At 40.7% G+C, this 19,642-nt stretch overlaps 1 protein-coding gene across 7 annotated transcripts in view, besides 1 other annotated feature; it reads left to right on the forward strand.

Moving 5' to 3' along the window:
- The window catches only part of SFXN1 (sideroflexin 1), a 51,183-nt gene that overhangs the window by 27,407 nt on the left and 4,134 nt on the right, over window positions 1–19,642 (forward strand). For 2 of the 7 annotated variants that reach the window (NM_001322977.2, NM_022754.7), the window contains exons 3-10: window positions 3,066–3,236; window positions 4,143–4,241; window positions 5,485–5,560; window positions 6,145–6,230; window positions 7,497–7,624; window positions 10,648–10,697; window positions 15,953–16,002; window positions 16,409–16,456. In NM_001322977.2, coding sequence (NP_001309906.1) covers window positions 3,066–3,236; window positions 4,143–4,241; window positions 5,485–5,560; window positions 6,145–6,230; window positions 7,497–7,624; window positions 10,648–10,697; window positions 15,953–16,002; window positions 16,409–16,456 — 708 coding nt within the window. Of the gene's footprint in view, window positions 1–3,065; window positions 3,237–4,142; window positions 4,242–5,484; window positions 5,561–6,144; window positions 6,231–7,496; window positions 7,771–10,647; window positions 10,698–15,952; window positions 16,003–16,408; window positions 16,457–19,642 lie in introns of those variants that run through there. The other 5 variants (NM_001322982.2, NM_001322978.2, NM_001322981.2 and 2 more) reach the window with 3 other exon arrangements.
- Window positions 10,984–12,183: an enhancer, noted in NCBI's record as "P300/CBP strongly-dependent group 1 enhancer chr5:174943953-174945152 (GRCh37/hg19 assembly coordinates)". NCBI's record gives its function as "activates an origin of replication core promoter dependent on BRD2, BRD4, P300/CBP, MED14 and CDK7 cofactors, with strong dependence on P300/CBP, by STARR-seq in HCT116 cells {active_cell/tissue: HCT116}" and the evidence as "EXISTENCE:reporter gene assay evidence [ECO:0000049][PMID:35650434]".

Below are 19,642 nucleotides of genomic sequence, written 5' to 3' on the forward strand. Positions count from 1 at the left end.
CCACCATGCCCAGCTAAGTTTTATATTTTTTAGTAGAGATGGGATTTCACCATGTTGGCCAGGCTGGTGTCAAACTCCTGACCTCAGGTGATCTGCCCGTCTCGGCCTCCCAAAGTGCTGGGATTACAGGCGTAAGCCATTGTGCTCGGTCCACATTTTCATATTAAGATAAATTCCAAATTCATTAAAAACCTAAATGACAAAAAGAAAACAACTATTCTGAGAATGCTAGAAATATCGGTGAACATTTGTATAATCTTTCTAGATAGAAACTTTATTCCTACCTGATTACATAAAAATAATAATTTTCAGGACAGCAGATAACACAACCAAAAAAATAAAAATTGGGGTTAATCGCAGTGTATAAAATACGCGTACAAATTACATAAATAACAATGATGCTGCTGTGGATGGTAATTTTTTAAAAAAAGACTAGTCAAGTAGAGAAAAAAGATAGAAGACATAGCCAAAGTTTTAATGTTGTACATAGCTTTTGTTCCAGCATATTTACTCATTTCTTTCAGAATAATCTTGGATGTGGGGATAGATTTATGTATGAGGGTTTATTTACTTCCTCATCCTTTACAAATGGAGTAAAATTAGAAGCAATTAATATGCCCAACACTAGGAGATTGGTATATATTACAGTATCTTATAATCATGTAGGAGAATACTATACAGTACTTAAAAAGTTGGTGTATTCATTTCTTTTTTTTTTGAGACAGAGTCTCACTCTGTTGCCCAGGCTGGAGTGCAGTAGCACAATCTCAGCTTACTGCAACCTCTGCCCCCCAGGTTCAAGTGATTCTCCTGCCTCAGCCTCCTGAGCAGCTGGGATTACAGTTGCCTGACACTGCACTGGCTAATTTCTGTATTTTTAGTAGAGACGGGTTTTCACCATGTTGGCCAGTCTGGTCTTGAACTCCTGACCTCGTGATCCACCCACCTTGGCCTCCCAAAGTGCTGGGATTACAGGCGTGAGCCACCATGCCCAGCCTATTAATTTCTTAAGGCTGCCATAACAAATTGCCACCAACTTGAGCCTCACAGTTATGGAGGCTCAAGGTCTGATATCAAGGTGTCAACAGGGCCATGCTCCCTCTAAGAATCCTTCCTTGGGGCTTCCAAGGTTCTAGAGGCTCTAGGAATGTTTTGATGCACCTTGGCTTATGGGTACATTGCTGTCATCTCTGCCTCCTTCATTACTTGGCCTTCTTCTGTGTCTGATTGCACATGGCCTTCCTATAAGGACACCATTCATTGGATTTAGGGACCACTCTAATCCAGTATGCCGTTTGGCATTTGAACTAATTGCATCTGCAAAGATCCCATTTCCAAATAGGGTCACATTCTGAGGTTGCAGGTGAGACATGAATTTTGGGGGAGACACTGTTCAACCCAGTATAGATTATATAGAAGAATATCTGAAGACAGAGAGAAATGTTTACAGTATATTACTGAGTAAAGAAGGTGGTTATAAAGCAGCAGGTCTGGTGTGATGCCTTTAAGTAAACACATCACATTTAGCTTCTAGAGGAGAGACTGAAAATACATGCATGAAAACATTACCAGTGGAGATGAGTAGGTAAAGACTTGAGTGATTTTAATTGCTCTAATGGATTCCTGTTTTTTCTCAATTTTTGACAATGAATACGTGCTTCTTTGATAAAGAGAAGAAGTAAAGAATGAGGCACCTAATTTTTTTTTCATCAAGAGTCTTCTGAGGCTGGGCATGGTGGCCCACGCCTGTAATCCAGCCCTTTGGAGGCCATGGCAGGCAGATCGCCTAAGCCCAAGAGTTCAGAACCAGCCTGGGCAACATGGTGAAATCCTGTGTCTACAAAAAATGCAAAAAAATTAACCAGGCATGGTGGCGCATGCCTATAGTCCTAGCTACTCAGGAAACTGAGGTGGGAGGATCACTTGAGCTCAGCAGTTCAAGGCTGCGGTGAGCTGAGATCATGCCATTGCACTCCAGCCTGGGTGACAGAGTGAGACCCTGTCTTTAAAAAAAAAAAAAAAAAAATTCTTCCTGAACTAGCTTTTCATTCTATAGGTATAAAAATGAATTAATATCCTTGATTACCATAACTTTTGTCTAATTGTTTAAAGTATTTTAGAGTTTACAAATTCAAAATACATTATAAAATATGTCACTTGAAGAATATTTCAAAATTGAATGCTTTCCTATTCCCTATATATAATTTCTTTTCTGGCTTTTCCAAACTACAGATAATTTGAGATGAATAGATTTGATTTTTTTTTTTTTTTTTTTTTTTTTTGAGAGGGTCTTTCTCTGCCCAGGCTGGAGTACAGTGGTATGATGACTGCTCACTGCAGCCTCAACCTCCCGGGCTCAAGTGATCCTCTTGCCTCAGCCTCCCAGGTAGCTGGGACCACAGGCATATGCCACAATGCCTGACTAGTTTTTATTTATTTTTATTTTTTTATAGAGACAGAGTCTCACCATGTTGCTAAGGCTGGTTTTGAACTCCTGGGCTCAAGCAATCCTCCTGCCTCAGCCTCCCAAAGTGCTGAGATTACAGGCATAAGCCACCGCGCCCAGCCTGAAATGTTCATTTTAAGTGTTTATTGTCCTGTATGTTTTGAAATTTTTACTGACTATATGTAACAAATTTGTCACTCCATCTAGGCACAAGTGTTTTAGGTGAGCATAAATTTTTTTTTTTGAGACAGAGTCTCGCTTTGTCACCAGGCTGGAGTGCAATGGTGCGATCTTGGCTCACTGTAACCTCTGCCTCCCAGATTCAAGCAATTCTCTTGCCTTAGCCTCCTGAGTAGCTGGGATTACAGGCGGGTGCCACCGCACCCGGCTAATTTTTGTATCTTTAGTAGAGACGGGTTTCACCATCTTGGCCAGGATGATCTCTATCTCTTGACCTTGTGATCCACCTGCCTCAGCCTCCCAAAGTGCTGGGATTACAGACGTAAGCCACCACACCCAGCCAGAGCATAAACTTTTAAAACCTTGTAGCCACTTGTCTCTAGGACACTGGGGAGATATTTGAAATGAGCAATTGCCATATTATTTGTTGTTTTCTTAGGCAAGGAATTGTTCCTCCTGGTCTTACAGAAAATGAATTGTGGAGAGCAAAGTACATCTATGATTCAGCTTTTCATCCTGACACTGGTGAGAAGATGATTTTGATAGGAAGAATGTCAGCCCAGGTTCCCATGAACATGACCATCACAGGTTGTATGATGACGTTTTACAGGTATGTTATGAATATGTAGCAACAGTGTGTTTACCATTACAGAAGCTCAAAGTATATTTTTGTATGTAAATAATTTTGTTGAAATAAGTATTATTTCATAAGTATATGAAGTGACAAACAAGGTAATTAGCTTGATTGAATCATTCCGTAATGTACTTATGAATCAAAACATCATGTTGAACTCCTTTAGTATATACAATAAAAAATAAAATTGAAGACAATAAAAAACAAAAAATGGGGTATTATTGATGTAAAAGAAAAGAAGTCATTTCACTTTTAGTTCCATTATGTTTGAATGTTGCTACTCTGGGACTCTTTTTTTTTTTAACCCTTCCCCTCTGCTAAATAGCATCTTCTTAGTTGTTCAAAAGGAGGTTGAATTTTTTTTCTAAATCTTAGCCCCAAAAGAGAATGAAGTGGAGAAGGAAAATAAAGAGTCTGCAGGCAAATTCTCCTTTGACTCCATTCATATAGATATAGGTATAGGTATAAGTGTAGATATAGGCACATTAAAGGTGTATGTGTAGACATAGACATATAGCATTGCAAGTGCTGTTAGGAGGGCCCAGGACCGCTTAGCCTACAAATTGTATCTTTTTTCCCCAAGAGAAGGGATCTGGCATTTATTGAATGTCTATTCTGTACCAGGCTCTCTACAAATTTTATCTTACTTCATCCTCATAGTAACCCTCTGAGCTTGGTGTTATCTATATCTACGGAATGAGGAAACTGATGATCCCAGAGGATAAAAGCTTGCCCAGCACACAGATCCTAAGCCTGTGTGGCCTTATGGCTTTCTCCCTTCCCCAGTACGTCTCCTCTCTGGTTACTGGTGTTCACGTTTTCTGTTCCATGCCGCGGCTGGGCCCAGTGATGGTGGGTATGTGACGGATGCCTCTGTTTTAGGACTACGCCGGCTGTGCTGTTCTGGCAGTGGATTAACCAGTCCTTCAATGCCGTCGTCAATTACACCAACAGAAGTGGAGACGCACCCCTCACTGTCAAGTAAGGCTACGAGAATTGACCACTCTCTGCAGTTCTTCAACCTTCATTTTATTAAGTGGTGATACTCTCCTGTTTAAAAAAGCCTATGTGTGCATATTTTTATATTGTTCAGAATATTATGTAGCATCCTTTTTTGTAGCTTTTTTCTTTTTTAAAGTAAAGTGTTTCATTTTCTCTCTCCCTATCAAGAAAACAGTCTTCTTCCAGCCTGCCTTCTCAGACATTACTCGTGCCTTTGGAGGTACTGGTAGGATGTTACCTCCTTCTCACCCTGGAGCTCATGGCCCTGTAGAACACATGGCAGGCAGCACCGGCCTGGCCTCTGATAAGTGACAGGCTGTTCCGCCATCTACCCTGCCTGAGTTGACAGACACCAACGTTAAGAGTAGAGGAGACAAAGTGTGGTCTCTGCAGAAATCAAGGGGAGACCATGGCGGTGTGAACTTTATATCTGATATGTTTTTAAAATAGCTCATCTGTGGAGTCCAAAAGAAAGCAATGAGTTTTAATTTTTTGTCACCTGTTAAAAAAAAAATAGGCTCACAAGATTAGTTAACCAAAAACGTTAGTTAGCATAATTGTATTACACTTGAAAGAAAAGTGCTTCTCTTTTTTATCACTTAAAATTGCTTTTGACAACACATATTCTTCTACTATTGTTATATGGAACAAAGGATCTTGAAATCTGCAGCCAAGTGGTGTTTATTGCAATTAAAATTTCTTTTAAAAGAAGAGAGAATTGCTTGGGCTTTATAGTTTTTGGATGATAAGACTTAGTATTTTTATACAGTTAAGATATCATTTTTTAAATGGCAGCACTTCATTTTTGCTTTCAGTGTGTATATTAATATTTTGAGAAATATTTTTAAGCAAATATGCCCCAAACATTTAGCCCAATATGCATTCCCCTGTATTCATAGCTTCCTACACACAGCTCCCCTCCTTCTCACGAATACAAAGTCTGTATGTTTATTTATTTATTTTAACCAACTCACTTCAAAGAATACATGTCTACTTTTTTGGAGTTATAGTCAAGATACGTGTGAAGAATCCCATTGTTTATGGATCTGCTTGCTTTTTCTCTAGATTCCCCTACTTGTGGAGTGATAGTGAATGTTGTTTTGTAGACTCTTCATTCTGAATCATGCTCTTTTATATTTCCCTTTTATTTCTTCAAATAATGTTGCACCAGAGTTTCCTGACATGCCCTCGTCGTCCACACGATATCCTTTTTTCTTTTCAGTGAGTTGGGAACAGCTTACGTTTCTGCAACAACTGGTGCCGTAGCAACAGCTCTAGGACTCAATGCATTGACCAAGGTACTCAGATTTTTATTTCCATAATAAAGCTGTTTAATTTGTTATCACCTGCCTGGCTCTAAATCCCTCTATTATTTCTTAAACTAGTTCAAGTCATATGGCTTTCTTGTTATAGTGCTTATCTTCAGCTGCATATTTTAGTTATATCTTCCAATAAGTTTGGGAAGAGTTGTCACCAGTAACACCTACCAGGACTGTGGTCTGTGCCTGACTCTGTGTACGAAGTGCTAAATGTTCACCCATCCTGACAGCCCACCAGAGGCATTGCAGAGGGCAGTGTGCCTCAGGCCACAGCTCTGAAGAGAGGCAAGAGCATCTCTCTCTCTCTCTCTCTCTCCCCACTCCAAAGCCCATACTCCTGCAACCACACTTAGCTACAAGGCCTTAGAAGCTTGCATGGTCCCAGCACACCCATGTGGGAAATATACAAATACTGCTAGGAAAAGTTTTGAAAGCATTCTTGGCCTGAGTTTCTATGCAAATGGGACTCTGCATTTTTCAGAGTTTTCAAGAAGAAATAAGTTATTTCCATTTACTAGTACAGGAAAAATAAGATAAAGCTCTTGAAATTTTCTCCTCTGCAGCATGTCTCACCACTGATAGGACGTTTTGTTCCCTTTGCTGCCGTAGCTGCTGCTAATTGCATTAATATTCCATTAATGAGGCAAAGGTAAGACGAATATGCACTCTTAGTAGGGACATGTGCTTGACAGGAGAGTCTCTTGTAATAATTAGCTTTGTTGAAACTTTCAAATGCTTGTTTTAATATGTATAGGTGAAATTATATGAGATCTTGGATTTCTTTTGAAATACTCTGGGGTTGGGGATGAGGATGGGCGTCTTGAGAAAACAAGCTTAGCGATGAGTTACTGATTATTGAAGCAGACTGAGGAGTGCGGGGAGGGGGCTGATGCTGGAATAGTCTTTCTATGTCCGTATAATAAAAAGTTTAAAAGATATATCTCAAGCTTACATTGAGTTGTGCTTGGGTTGGACAAAGTCTATCCAAAGAAAGTTTATTCTCTAAAATAGATTCCTTTTTTTTCTCCAGAATTTTCTTTTGGGGCTTAAAGTACATTATTCTATATCTTTGGAAGTATTGTTGTAGAACTGGCAAAAATTAAAGGAGAAGAAAGAACAACAAAAGCATTTTGGAATGGATAACGAAAAACAGGGGTAACGGTAGAAGTTATACTTAGTGTTAGTAAATATAGTTAATAAATATACAGTAGGGCCATGTGCGAGTGACTGTTTCCATGTCAGCATATTAAGTTTGTTGACTTAATAATGCTGTGTATTATATCTGTTTCTCATTTGGAAAGTTGCTCAAATTTGCACATGAGCATAGATTGAAGTTAGTGTGTCCACCCTTTGAATCATATTGTTCCTGAAAAAGGTACACCCTGTTTTAAAAGTTTACTAGTGTTGTTTTACTTTTATTTCTATCAAAGGAGGATTAAACTTATCCATGGTATTTAAAAATAGATGTGTCTGCTGGGCGCAGTGGCTCACACCTGTAATCTCAGCACTTTGGGAGGCCGAGGCGAGTGGATCACCTGAGGTCAGGAGTTCAAGACCAGCCTGGCCAACATGGCAAAACCCCGTCTCTACTAAAAATACAAAAATTGGCCGGCACACTGTCACATGCCTGTAATTCTAGCTACTCGGGAGGCTGAGGCAGGAGAATCGCTTTGAACCCGGGAGGCAGAGGTTGCAGTCAGTGGAGATAGCCACCACTACACTCCAGCCTGGGCAACAGAGTGAGACTGTAAAAAAAAAAAAAAAAAAAAAAAAAAAACAGATGTGTCAGTACCAAAAATGACACTTGAGTGGGTATTTGAATTAAGTAGAGGGTTGATCTTTCCCAACATAGTACTATTTCAGGACGTTTATTGAAGGCATTGGTGGAGCTCTCTGTATGTGTTTTGCTCTGCAGGGAACTCAAAGTTGGCATTCCCGTCACGGATGAGAATGGGAACCGCTTGGGGGAGTCGGCGAACGCTGCGAAACAAGCCATCACGCAAGTTGTCGTGTCCAGGATTCTCATGGCAGCCCCTGGCATGGGTTAGCAGGACTTTGTCATTTATTCCATAAATACAGGTTGAACCAGCGTTCACGGATCCGTGAACCAGAAAACAAACACATATATCACACCTCTTAGTGGAAATTGCCTTCCACTGGGGGTGGCAGAAAATAAACAAGTAAATAAAGTATGTAGTATGTGCAGTGGTGATGAGGGCAAGGGGGCAATGGGGCTAGGGCGTGTGGGTAGGGCAGCCGGGGAAGAGCACTGGGTGGAGGTGTGGGAGTGAGCCAAGTGGGTATCGGTGATGAATATTCTGGCAGAGGGAACCACAGGCAGGAGTTTGCCTGGTGTGTTACAGGCATTACGGGTGCAGGTGCAGCTGGGGCACAGTGGGAGGGGTGGGGAGCAGTAGGAAGGGAGTCAGGAGGCCACAGACGGCAGAGCGTGGATGGCAGCCCTGGCGTTTCACACCTGGGTTTTAGTCTGAGAGGTAAGAAGCCAGGCAGGGTTTTGCATACAGGAGCAGCACAGTCTGACTTAGGTTTTATCTGTGTGACTCTGGGTGGTGGGTTGAGAATAGGCTGAAGGAGAATGAGAATATTCAGTGGAGGCTGTGCGGGGAGGCTGCCTCAGTAATCCAGGCAAGAGGCAGTGATGGGCTGGACCAGGGCCATACAGTGGGAATTTGACCAGAAGGAACTGATGGAGCAAATTGGAATGGTTAGAGCAGCTACTGATAAAATGTGTGCCAAGCAACTGCTCAGGTTTCCCTATAGGGACTGGGGTCAGAATGACCAAAAATAGAAAGTCTACATTGTATTTAGTTCTGCTGAGAATCTCTAGTCCACCCTAAGGCTGCTTAGAGCTACCTTCAGACCAGGGGCCTAAAGAAAGTTCTCAGACTGAGAAATCAGAGGGCCTGGCAGTTAGAGTGCTCTTCACAGAAAAAAAACAGAAATTAGTATGTTTAATTTTCATCATCTAAACTGAATGCAAACAGCGCTTGGCAATTAAAATGAAGCTCTCCAATGAAGTATACTTCATCAGCTGCTGTCAAGTCATCCATTGATACTGTTTTGCGGTTTTTAAATTCCTTTTGTCACTGTGACTGCTCATCAGCAGGCAAGGAAGAGCAGGCAACAAAAGTTGAAAAGTGCATGAAGGAAAACTTTGAGGAATATGATATTCACATTCCAGCAAATTGGGGGAAAACTGCTATTATCTGGTTTAACACAGGAGTGCCTTGGTGCCCTGCCTGAGGCTAATGTGTTCTGTAGGGGTGGCTGCACAGCCACAGTCCTGAAACATGGGAAAGCATCTCCTGAGTCCAGGGACCAGCACGTTTGTCACTAACCTAAAAGGAGGCTATGGAGCCCACCCCGGTGTTCCTACTGAGCCCTGATTTCCAGATTTGCTGAAATCGAGGTTGCGGCTCCAGCTTCTGCCCTGGGTTTGGTTTGTTGTTGTCGTCGTTGTTTTTGAGACAGGATATTGCCCTGTCCCTCAGGCTGGAGTGCAGTTGCTGTGATCATGGCTCACTGCAGCCTCAACTTCCCTGAGCTCAGGTGATCCTCCTACCTCAGCTTCCCCAGTAGCTGGGACTACAGGCGTGCGCCACCACACCCAGCTGATTTTTGTATATTTTGTAGAAACAGGGTTTTGGTATGTTGCCCAATTAGTCTAGAACTCCTGGGCTCAAATGATCCACCCACCCCGAATGCTAGGTATACAGTTGTGAACCACCATGTCCGGCCCTGGGTTTGCTTTTGATTGTGGTCTTTTCTGTTTTGAATTGCCTTACTCCTCTTAGAGTTCAGCCAGTCCAGACGGACAAATCCATTTCTAGTGATTTGGTTATTTTAAACACTATTTAGTCCCCAGAGAAGAAATACAATCTTTCTGTCCTAGTGCAATTTATAAGAGTAATTGACATATTGAAATAGTGGATATGACAGTTTAGCCTGATAAAAGTTGTCAGCAAATGAACGAATGCTGTCCACCGCATACCCAGTGTTTTACATGCAGTATTGTCTCCAATTTCCTCCATTTTATAGAAAAAGAAAACAGAAAGCTGAGGCTCAGAGAAGTTAGGTAACTTCTCCAGGGTCACCCAGCTAGCAAGTGGTCTAGCCCAGCGGTCCCAAACCTTTTTAGCACCAGGGACCCATTTCATGGAAGACAATTTTTTCATGGACCAGGGGTCAGGGGGATGGTTTCAGGATGATTCAAGCACGTTAAATGTATTGTGTACTTTAGTTCTATTATTATTACATTGTAACATATAATGAAATAATTAGACAAGTCACCATCATGTTGAATCAGTGGGAGCCCTGAGCTTGTTTTCCTGCAGCTAGACAGTCCCGTCTGGGGGTGATGGGAGACAGTGACAGATCATCAGGCACTAGATTCTCATAAGGAGCGGGCAACCTAGATCCCTTGTATGTGCAGTTCTCAATGGAGTTCAGGCTCCTGTGAGAATGTAATGCGGTCGCTGACCTGACAGGAGGCAGAGCTCAGGCGTAATGCAAGCAATGGGGAGCAGCTGTAAATACAGCTAAAGCTTCATTCACTTGCCCACTGCCCTCCTCCTGCTGGGCAGCCCTATTCCTAACAGGCCAGAGATCCATACCAGTCCATGGCCCAGGGGTTGGGGCCCCTGGTCTAGCCTGTACGGAAGCAGTTTCTGCCTGACTCCAAGGCAGGATTCTTTACACCATCCTCCCTGCCTTGTGCCCTTTGTTTTATTAATATAGGAAGAAAAAGTTCCTGATATTTTTATTTTTGTCTACTTAAACCTAAAAGTAAAGTTCTTTTCAAGATTATAAAACTTTCTGGCTGGCAGAGGATGTGATATTACTGTTCAAAAATTTAGAAAATCAGAACAGTTTTCAATCTAATGAATTCAAATGTAATAATTTAAAGAATTGCTACAAACTGTTTTTACTGTGACAGTGGAAATAGCCTAAAAGTGACAGAAGCTTTCTGTCAAATGGTTGAAAAAAAAAGTAAGCTGAAAATTGGCATTAAATAAAGATTTAAGTGGATCTATCTTTATTTCCAGCCATCCCTCCATTCATTATGAACACTTTGGAAAAGAAAGCCTTTTTGAAGGTAAGCTGTGGTTCTTTTGTCATTTTCTCAACCCTTTTTATTTCTTTTCAGATTTCAAACCGTATAGATTATTTGCTACCTAAACAGTAAAGAAGCCGAAGGCCAGTTTCCTGGGCTCTTACGTAAATAAAAAGATGTTCCCAGGAAGATTTTATTTCTAATCTCAGATATTTGAAAAAGCTTTTTGTAAATAAAGACTGCCACTATTGAGAGGTTGTAACTCAGTTACACACACAGTCATCTATTGGATGCCTGACTGGGTAAAAATGAAGAGATGATGTGAATTTGGAATGACATGTGTACAAGTCAGTAGTCATCCTATCAGGAATGAAAAAAATCATTCGGAGTAGCAGCTTCATGGGGTCTCAGTTTGGGAACAGTTAGCACAGTTCCTCTCATCTCAGTGACAAACACTGAACAGAAGACATAGTTGGGCATGTTGCATAAGTTTCTTGCTGTGACAGATGGAAATTTCTGTAGATGTACCCTGGCATTTTCTCATGCGAAGGAGCTGGAAAATGATAAAAGCAGTTAGCCCCGTCTTAGCCCACCATTGCCGCATTGTTCCAGGCTGTTACACAATGATAAGATGAATAACTATTGTGTTCTCCCCACTTTCATCTTAAGCTGTGGTTTTTTTAGCTTTGCTTGATATTGTACCCTTTGATCATCATTTGGAAGTGTGCTGCCATGCCTACTCTTCCCACCGAAGCCCCCTACCTGCCCCACGCCCCACATGGAAGGGCCCACTGGTTTCAGAACCCCATTGTGAAGGTCCAGAGAGATGATCAGGACAGCTCATGGCTCAGTCCTGGCACCTCACTGGCTACAAGGGAGCCTGGTTGTAGGTGTACTCCTTCAGACCTCAATGAGAGATATTGCTCTGAAAAAGTAATGGCTAACTACCATTAAGGTACCCATACATACCTACCACTCCCCAAGTTCACAGTTGCTGGTATATGTCGGTGTTGCATTTCACCCATGTAGAGAGGACCATAGGACAGAAATGATAGTATAGTCATTGCTAAAATAGACACAGAGGCAGCTTATATTAAAATCCCTACTTTTCCACGTTCAAAACACTTTCACATTCTATTGTGAAGGCGGGCTTCACCATGCCTCTTCCGCAAAGGCTGAAGAGGTCACTTCCTTGGCAGCTCATGATGCCCATGCGGTGGTGTGCCTTGGTTGGCCTTCCGCTTGTTCCCACTGCCCCAGGGCCAGGTGTGCCTCCTCTGCAAGGAGGTACTTATCTGGGCTTTTACCTTAGAAATGACCAGACTCCTCCGCAAACATGAAACTAATTGAACATTCTGGGCTTTTTTAAACGGTGATGCTTGGGGAGCATTCAGCATGACTCATCCATCCCCCTACGCCTTATCTCTCCCCAAGTGGAGAGCTGGAAAAAACACATCAGCTGTGGGCAGGTGACTCACGGAAATTTTTGCAGTAAACCAAGAAGTTCACCGCCTAAAATCTGGTGCTTCTGTGAACAGTTTTCTTGAAGAATAGTTCCTGTTGTCTCTTTAAACTTGGGTCATTCTTGATGGCACTTTCATTGGGAGTGAAATTGATATGGTTTGGGTCCTATGCTAGTTCTTGTTCCTTAAGTTCTAATTCTTTTATATTCCCTTTTATAAAAGTAGACTGCTGTGTCTACTCAGTAGGCTTTCAGGACTGCTAATTGAATGGGAATGTAACATTTATTTGTTCATTCATGTTTTTTTCAGCAGCCCTTTGCTGAATGCTTGTTTATGCCAAGCAATATGGTAGACACTAGAGTCCCAGAAAGAGGATACGACCCCTGATCTCAGGGAGCATGTAGCATGATATGGGGAAGAGGCGCAAGACACATTGTTAAAATACGCAGCGTTTAAAGTTTGGGGCACAGAGGGAGCGCATAGGAGGTATCTTACCCAACTGGTGTAGGTGAGCAGAGACTTCTTTGAAGAGGACTGGCTGAGGGCCACATGCTCTACAGAAGCTCAGCAAGTACACAGAGCATGAATTGTTGGAAGTTTGTGGATGGTTAGGTTGGCTGGGATGTAGGCAATGTGTAAGGAATTGACTATACCATATATAAAAATTAGCTCTCAGTGATTCATAGAATCTAATGTAAAAGTCTACAACTGTAAAACTTCTAGAAGAAAATACAATAGAACACGGGCTAGGCAAAGACTTATTAGACTCAACACAAAAAGCACAGTCCATAAAAGAAAAATTGATCAATTGGACTTCATCAGATTTTTAAAATTCTGTTCTTTAAAACTATACAGAAAATGAAAAGAGAAGAAACAGCATGGGGAAAAATGTTTACAAGGCACGTATGTGATAAAGGACTTGTGTCCAGAATACATAAAGGACCCTCAACACTTAAGCTGGGCAAAAGGTTTGAACAGACACTCTACCAAGTACATACAGTTCTCAAGCACCTAAAAAATGCTTAGTGTCTTTAGTCGTTGGGAAACCTAGATTAAAACCACAGGAGCTGCCACTAAATGCCTATTAGAATGTCAAAAACTAAAAAGATTGATCATAGCAAGTGTTGGTGAGGAAATGGAAGAACTGAAACCCTCCCCACTGCTGGTAGAATTAATGTGGTACAGTCATGTGAGAAAATAGTGAGGCAGTTTCTTACAAAGTTAAACAGATGCTGCCCTATGATCCAGCCATTTCCTTCCTAGATCTTTACCTAGGAAAAATAGAAGCACATGTCCATAAAAGACGAATATTCATAGCAGCTTTATTTGTAATAGCCAAAAACTAGAAACAGCTCAAATGCCAATAAAAGGAAAATGGATAAACATCTTGTGAATACAAGGGAATACTTAGCAATAAAAAGTAACAAACTAGTGCTACACACAACATGAAGGCGTCTCAAAGTAATTACACAAAAGAATAGATACTGTATATCGAGTCCTAGAAAATGTAAACTAATATCTAGTGACAGAAAGATGAGAGGTTGCCATATAATGGGGTGCAGGGTTTATGGAAGAGGGAGGAACTGCAAAGTGGTACAAGGAACAAGAAAAACATTCGGGGTGGTGAATATTTTCATTATTTTGATTGTGCTTATGGCTTCACAGCCATATATGTATGTCAGAACTTACATTAAATATGGGCAGTTGTATGTCAATAAAGCTATTAGATCACTGGGGAAGAAAGAATTTAGAGTCACTAACTTTTCAGGGGGTTTTTTGCTTTTTTTTTTTTTTTTTTTTTTTTGAGACCGAGTCTTGCTCTGTCACCAGGCTGGAGTGCAATGACATAACCTTGGCTCACTGCAAACTCTGCCTCCCGGGTTCAAGCAATTCTCCTGCCTCAGCCTCCTGAGTAGCTGGAACTACAGGCATGTACCACCATGCCTAGCTAATTTTTGTATTTTTAGTAGAGACGGGATTTCACCATGTTAGCCAGGATGGTCTTGATCTCTTGACCTTGTGATCCACCTGCCTCAGCCTCCCAAAGTGTTGGGATTACAGGCATGAGCCACCACACCCAGCCTGACTTTTGAGTTTTTTACTTCATTGAATATATATATGTACATATATATATATACACACACATATATATATTTATGTATCTTTTAAACATATAATTACTCTCTTTAATTCATTTGGACTTTTCATCTAAACTTGCTCTGTTTGCACAGTTCTGTTAGGTAAGATATGTTCCTACCTTGAGAAATGTTGTGAATATCTAGCGAAACACCAAACATCCTCAGCTGACTAATGTGGTATCAGACTTTCTGGTTGCAAGGTAGGGGTGAATAAGGCAGGATGGGGTGCGGGGGTGGTGCTGGAAGAAGACATGGCATCAGGTTGGGTTTTGCAGGATACTGAAATTGTCTAGGGGCCTTGGCTGTGCAAAGAGCCTTTCCGTCAAAACCCTCTGCATGAGCCACAGTCAGCACGTAGTTTGCACATGCCCACCTCCAAGGTGGCACACAGCTGCTCTCTTTTGAGTAACAGGTTAGCCCAGTTTGCTGCAGACCAGAGTCTACTTACAATGAGGAGGCTGCTCTCACAGGGTCAAGAGCACAGGCTCTCGCTAAGTACTATGTTTACCCTCCCATCACCAAATCTGTCCCAGCCCAGATGTCACCTGGCTAGGAAGCGCTGGGGAGTATTTAGCATCTCCTTATGACAATCCTTCATCATCAAACAGAGACAGTTGCCAAAGATACAGTGTTTTCCTTTTCATTCTATCTTTTGAGGAGAGGGGCCCCTCTGTGTAACCTGTGAAGACTAGTTTCCTTGACGATGCTGCTCCCTTCCTCTCCAATCCATCCCTTTCCCCCTTACGCCAACCCTCCTGATGAACCTTTTCCCCAGAGGAGTCTCTTTGGGGACCAGGGTATGCCTCCCATGCATGTTGTCTTCTAACAGCTTGTGTTGACTCCTAACTAAGCTGGCTGATTTCATTACAACCAGCTCACACCTTGGTTGCAGTGATTTCTGTGGCCTTATTTATATAACCATATATCTCATCACTCTTTATATTGTGTATTTAAGTACCACTCCTTTTTTAAAACTAAAAATCTAACAGCATTTATTCTCCAGAAGACCAACCAACTTGTTCATTTCCATTAAAAAAAAAAAAAGTGTGACTAGCAAAAATGTTTTATGCCAGAAATAGTTTTAACCATACTGACAGCAACTAAAACCAAGAAAGACGAGGTGTAAAGTGGGGTGAGGGATGGTAAGCATTTGTTGGGTTTCTGATATGTTCCAGCCACCATACTAGGTGCTTTATGAATGTGATCTGGCATATCTTCATCCACACACTTTTAGGAAGCTGTTAGTGATGTTCATTTTGTACCATCACAAGGAAACGGAAGCTTGGAGAGGCTAGGCTCTGCCTGTGGTTCCCCACAGTCAGGAACTAACCAGAAGGCGGGAGACTTGAGACCTTGGCACCAGGCTGTCCTACCTCCCCAGCCAGGGGATTCATTACAATTAAATGACAGCTACTTCCCCACCTCCATTATATACCCAAGCAGTGCTCAGATTAAATGGGGGACTGGGAGGAAAAATAGAAGCCACTTGATCTTTGCGTGTGTGCTGATTTACAGATCAAAGAAGGTTACAGGAAGTTAGGCTAACACCCTTGTTGCAGCATTTCCCCCAAATTTCACTAACCATGTTCTATCTGAATCTTGAAATGTGGTGAGAGGTTCCTTCCAGTTAATCAGAAGATATTGCCTCTAAGACCCTGTATAAAAAGTATTCAAAGCCATTTATTTCTCAACACAGAGGTTCCCATGGATGAGTGCACCCATTCAAGTTGGGTTAGTTGGCTTCTGGTGAGTAGAAATTACTTTTACATAATTAATTTCTTTTAAAATATAAATACACAGCGTATGAAAGGTGACTGGGTAATATGGGATACAAATTTTGAAAATGAGGCCATCTCAGAACATCTGGAATGCATGGCCCCAAATAATTAAATAGAAGTAAACTGTCTTTAGAGAAACCTACAACATGGGGGGCTATTCGTGTGATTCTTTTTTAAATTGTTGTCTCTGTGACTTTTTCATTATTTTGGCAATCCTAGGTAATAAAACTTACACAAACAGGACTTATTTTTGTTAGACAACACAGAACGTAATGCTCTGAAGAAAGAAGGGATTGTTATAAAAGTAAAATAGAAAAATAAGCTGAAAATTAACCATTTAAAATGGTCTGACTTTTTTTTGTATTTTTTTTAAGTTTGGTGTTTGCTACACCCCTGTGTTGTGCCCTGTTTCCTCAGAAAAGGTATGTATTTGTTATTCGTCAGAATCATCATGAGTATTAATCCTAAAAACCAATTGAAGGTGCAGGTGCCATTATTCCATTTCATTGGCAGGGAAGTTGAGACTCAAAAGATACTGAAGCCAGGGTCTCTTAAAAGGAAGGGATGGAGGCAGAAATCAAACCCACATCTGTCTAATTTCAGATGCACCCAGCTCTTTTCTACCCCCTTCCATTAAATTTGAAAATGCTTTATTCTTTTGTGAGAATCAGATTAACTCTGATGCAAATTTGCTTTTATGAAAATTTAAAATATGGTCCAATCCACTGGCAAATGCATCTGTAATACAGATATGATAGGATGCAAGTTCCACCCCCAGGGACAGCAATTATATGCACTTAGCTTAGGTGGTTGGTATATTTGCTTCCTTTCTTCCCACTTAGTTTTTTGCCTTAAAAGCTTTCTTGTGCACGCCTCTCATCGCAAACTGCCCTTGAATCCTGCCTTTGATGTGAGAACAGGACTAACTGGCGTTAAATCGGCATTTTCTACATCAGGTCTCCAGCCTGCTCTTGACCTGACTCCAACACACAAAGCAGCGGCATTTTGTTGTCTGTCATTTTCTGTAAGTGTTACCAGGCCCCTTGCCTTGGTAATACCCTTTCCTTTGTGGGCCAGTAGGTCCCGAACATATGGTCTTTAATCCCCCAGCCTTGCGGAGTTGGTTTTGGATGAGGTGTTCTGTTCTAGAACTAATGCTGTCAGATCCCTCTACCTGATCGAGAACTCCACCTTGTATCTGCTCTCCCACTCTGTCTCCGACCCTGCTGTTCTTGAATAGAAATTTAAACCTCATGGACAGGAGCCCTTCATCACCTTGGAGCCTACTGAAGAGCCCCCCTTGAAGAGGGCAGGACCTTCAGAACTTGCTCTGGGAGCCTGATTCAGATGAATTTCCTCATCTCTACAGTGGGATAATGATACCTGCTTAATTGTACAAACCCCAGAGTCTTGGGGCTCAACCTGAGAATGTCCATTTCTGTAGTATGTGGCTTATGAACACTGGTGTTCAGCAGCTGGCCTTGATTTAGCAGTTTAGACTTTGAGCACATAAAATGCCAAGGGGTGTGCCTGATACCAAGTTGTAAAACACCTAAGAAATGTAGCTGTAATTATTTTCAGATTGAAAGGGTTTTAGATTTGAAAACCCATAGAGAAACTTTCTACTTTGGCCTTTTTTCTTTGAGTGCTGCAAGAAATAAAATATAGCCCAACATTTATTTTTTATGATTCATTGAAACTCTAGGGGTAGAAATGGAAAGCTTTCTGTAACTACTAGTGTCCTTAGGTCAAGGCCCTCAGAAAGCGTGTGGTTTTACATTTGAGAAACCAATCCTCTTTTGTTTTACTGTATTTTAAAATAGCTTCTTACTCTGTTTTGTTGTTTATACATTGTATGTTTGGCTTCTTGAGGTCTCTGGCTCCTCAGTTTTTCCTTGGCTCATAACATAGTATCCTCATTGATCCAAGCATGACCCTGTTTTGCTTATTTTTATTTTACTTATACTAATAATATAATGAATATCCACAAATTCAGTGCCCAATGAGGCAGGAGAATCGCTCGAACCCAGTAGGCAGAGGCTGTGGTGAGCCAAGATCACGCTACTGCATTCCAGCCTGGGCAACAGTGCGAGATTCTGTCTCAAAAAAAAAAAAAAAAAAAAAAATATATATATATATATATATATATATATATATATATATATATATATCTCCAATAAGTTACATCTTATAGGCTCCTCCCAACCTGTGTCCCTGCCTCCCCTGCAGATTTAACCACTATGCTGAATTTCATGCTCTTGCATTTTATATTTGTGTATGTATCTTTAGTTTGTCTTAGGAACTTTTTAGACAAGGGTGTCACACTGTCATAAGATGTATAGTCTTCTAGTACTTGTTCTTTTTATTCAGTGTCAGAACTAAGATTCATCTACATTATTGTGTGTACCTATAGTCCATTCATTGTTGTTGTTGTATAATAGTGCATTGTATGAATGCACCACAGTTTCCCGTCTCCTATGTGAACAAGTGATAATGAAAACATTCTTTATTAACATTTTTGAGAAGCAGCAAATGTGTTGCTTTGAGAGATATTTATAGCTTTAAATGTTTATATTATGAAGAATAGCTGAAAATCAATGCACTAAATGTCCCAACTTAAAAAAAAAAAAGCACAAAAGAATAAACATCAGAAAAGAAGGAAGGAAGGAGATGAAGATCAGAAATCAATAAAATAAATAACAGAAAGAGTAGAGGATCAACAAAGTGAAATCTTGGTTCTTTGAAAATAGAAACAAAATAGACAGTTGTCTGGTGAGATTAATCAAAACAAAAAGAGAAAGAGAAAAGTACAAATAATATGAATGAAAAAGAGGTATAACTGTAGGTTCAGCAGTGATTAAAAATAATACCAACATTATACCAACAGATTTGAAAACAAGCAAAATAGACAAATTTCTGGAAAAAATATTAGCAAAGCTGAAAAATTAGAAAGTCAGAATAGGCCAGATAGTCATTAAGGAAGCTGAAGCAGCATTTAATCTTCCTCCTACAAAGAAAACACAAGAAACAGGTAGTTTTACAGGTAAGTTTCTCCCAACTGTCAAGAAACAGATTATTCCAATTTCAAACAAACTCTCCTGGAAGATAAAAAAGAGAATACTCCCCATCATCCACCAAGGTTTGAATAACTTTAATTCCAAGATCAGACTTGGGCCTTTAACATACATTCATAGTAATTACAGATACTTAGAGATCAGTGGCAAAACAGAAAGACCAAGAGGTGGTATAGCAGGGCTTTGGGATCAAGAAAGATCTGCCTTCAACATCTCAGTTGCACCTCAGGTTTCCTTACCTGTACAATTATAATACTGGACTTACAGAGTTTTCCTAAGGGTTAAAATGCATAACGTCTGGCCCAGCAAGTGAGCTGTAAGTCATAGCCATTATCATTACCATCATCAGTGTCGTCATCATCATTTAAAATCACTCAAAGGCCCACTACATAAACAATAGCCATCATGGGATTTTTTTTCCTACCTTTTTTCTATATTCGTAATTTTTAAAATTTGTTTTGCATATTTTAAATATAAGCTTATATCCTGACTTTTTTTAACCTTACAGTCTATCACATGTCAACTATATTAATC

The sequence above is a fragment of the Homo sapiens genome, chromosome 5 (assembly GCF_000001405.40).
Source record: "Homo sapiens chromosome 5, GRCh38.p14 Primary Assembly".
Lineage (NCBI taxonomy): Eukaryota > Metazoa > Chordata > Mammalia > Primates > Hominidae > Homo > Homo sapiens.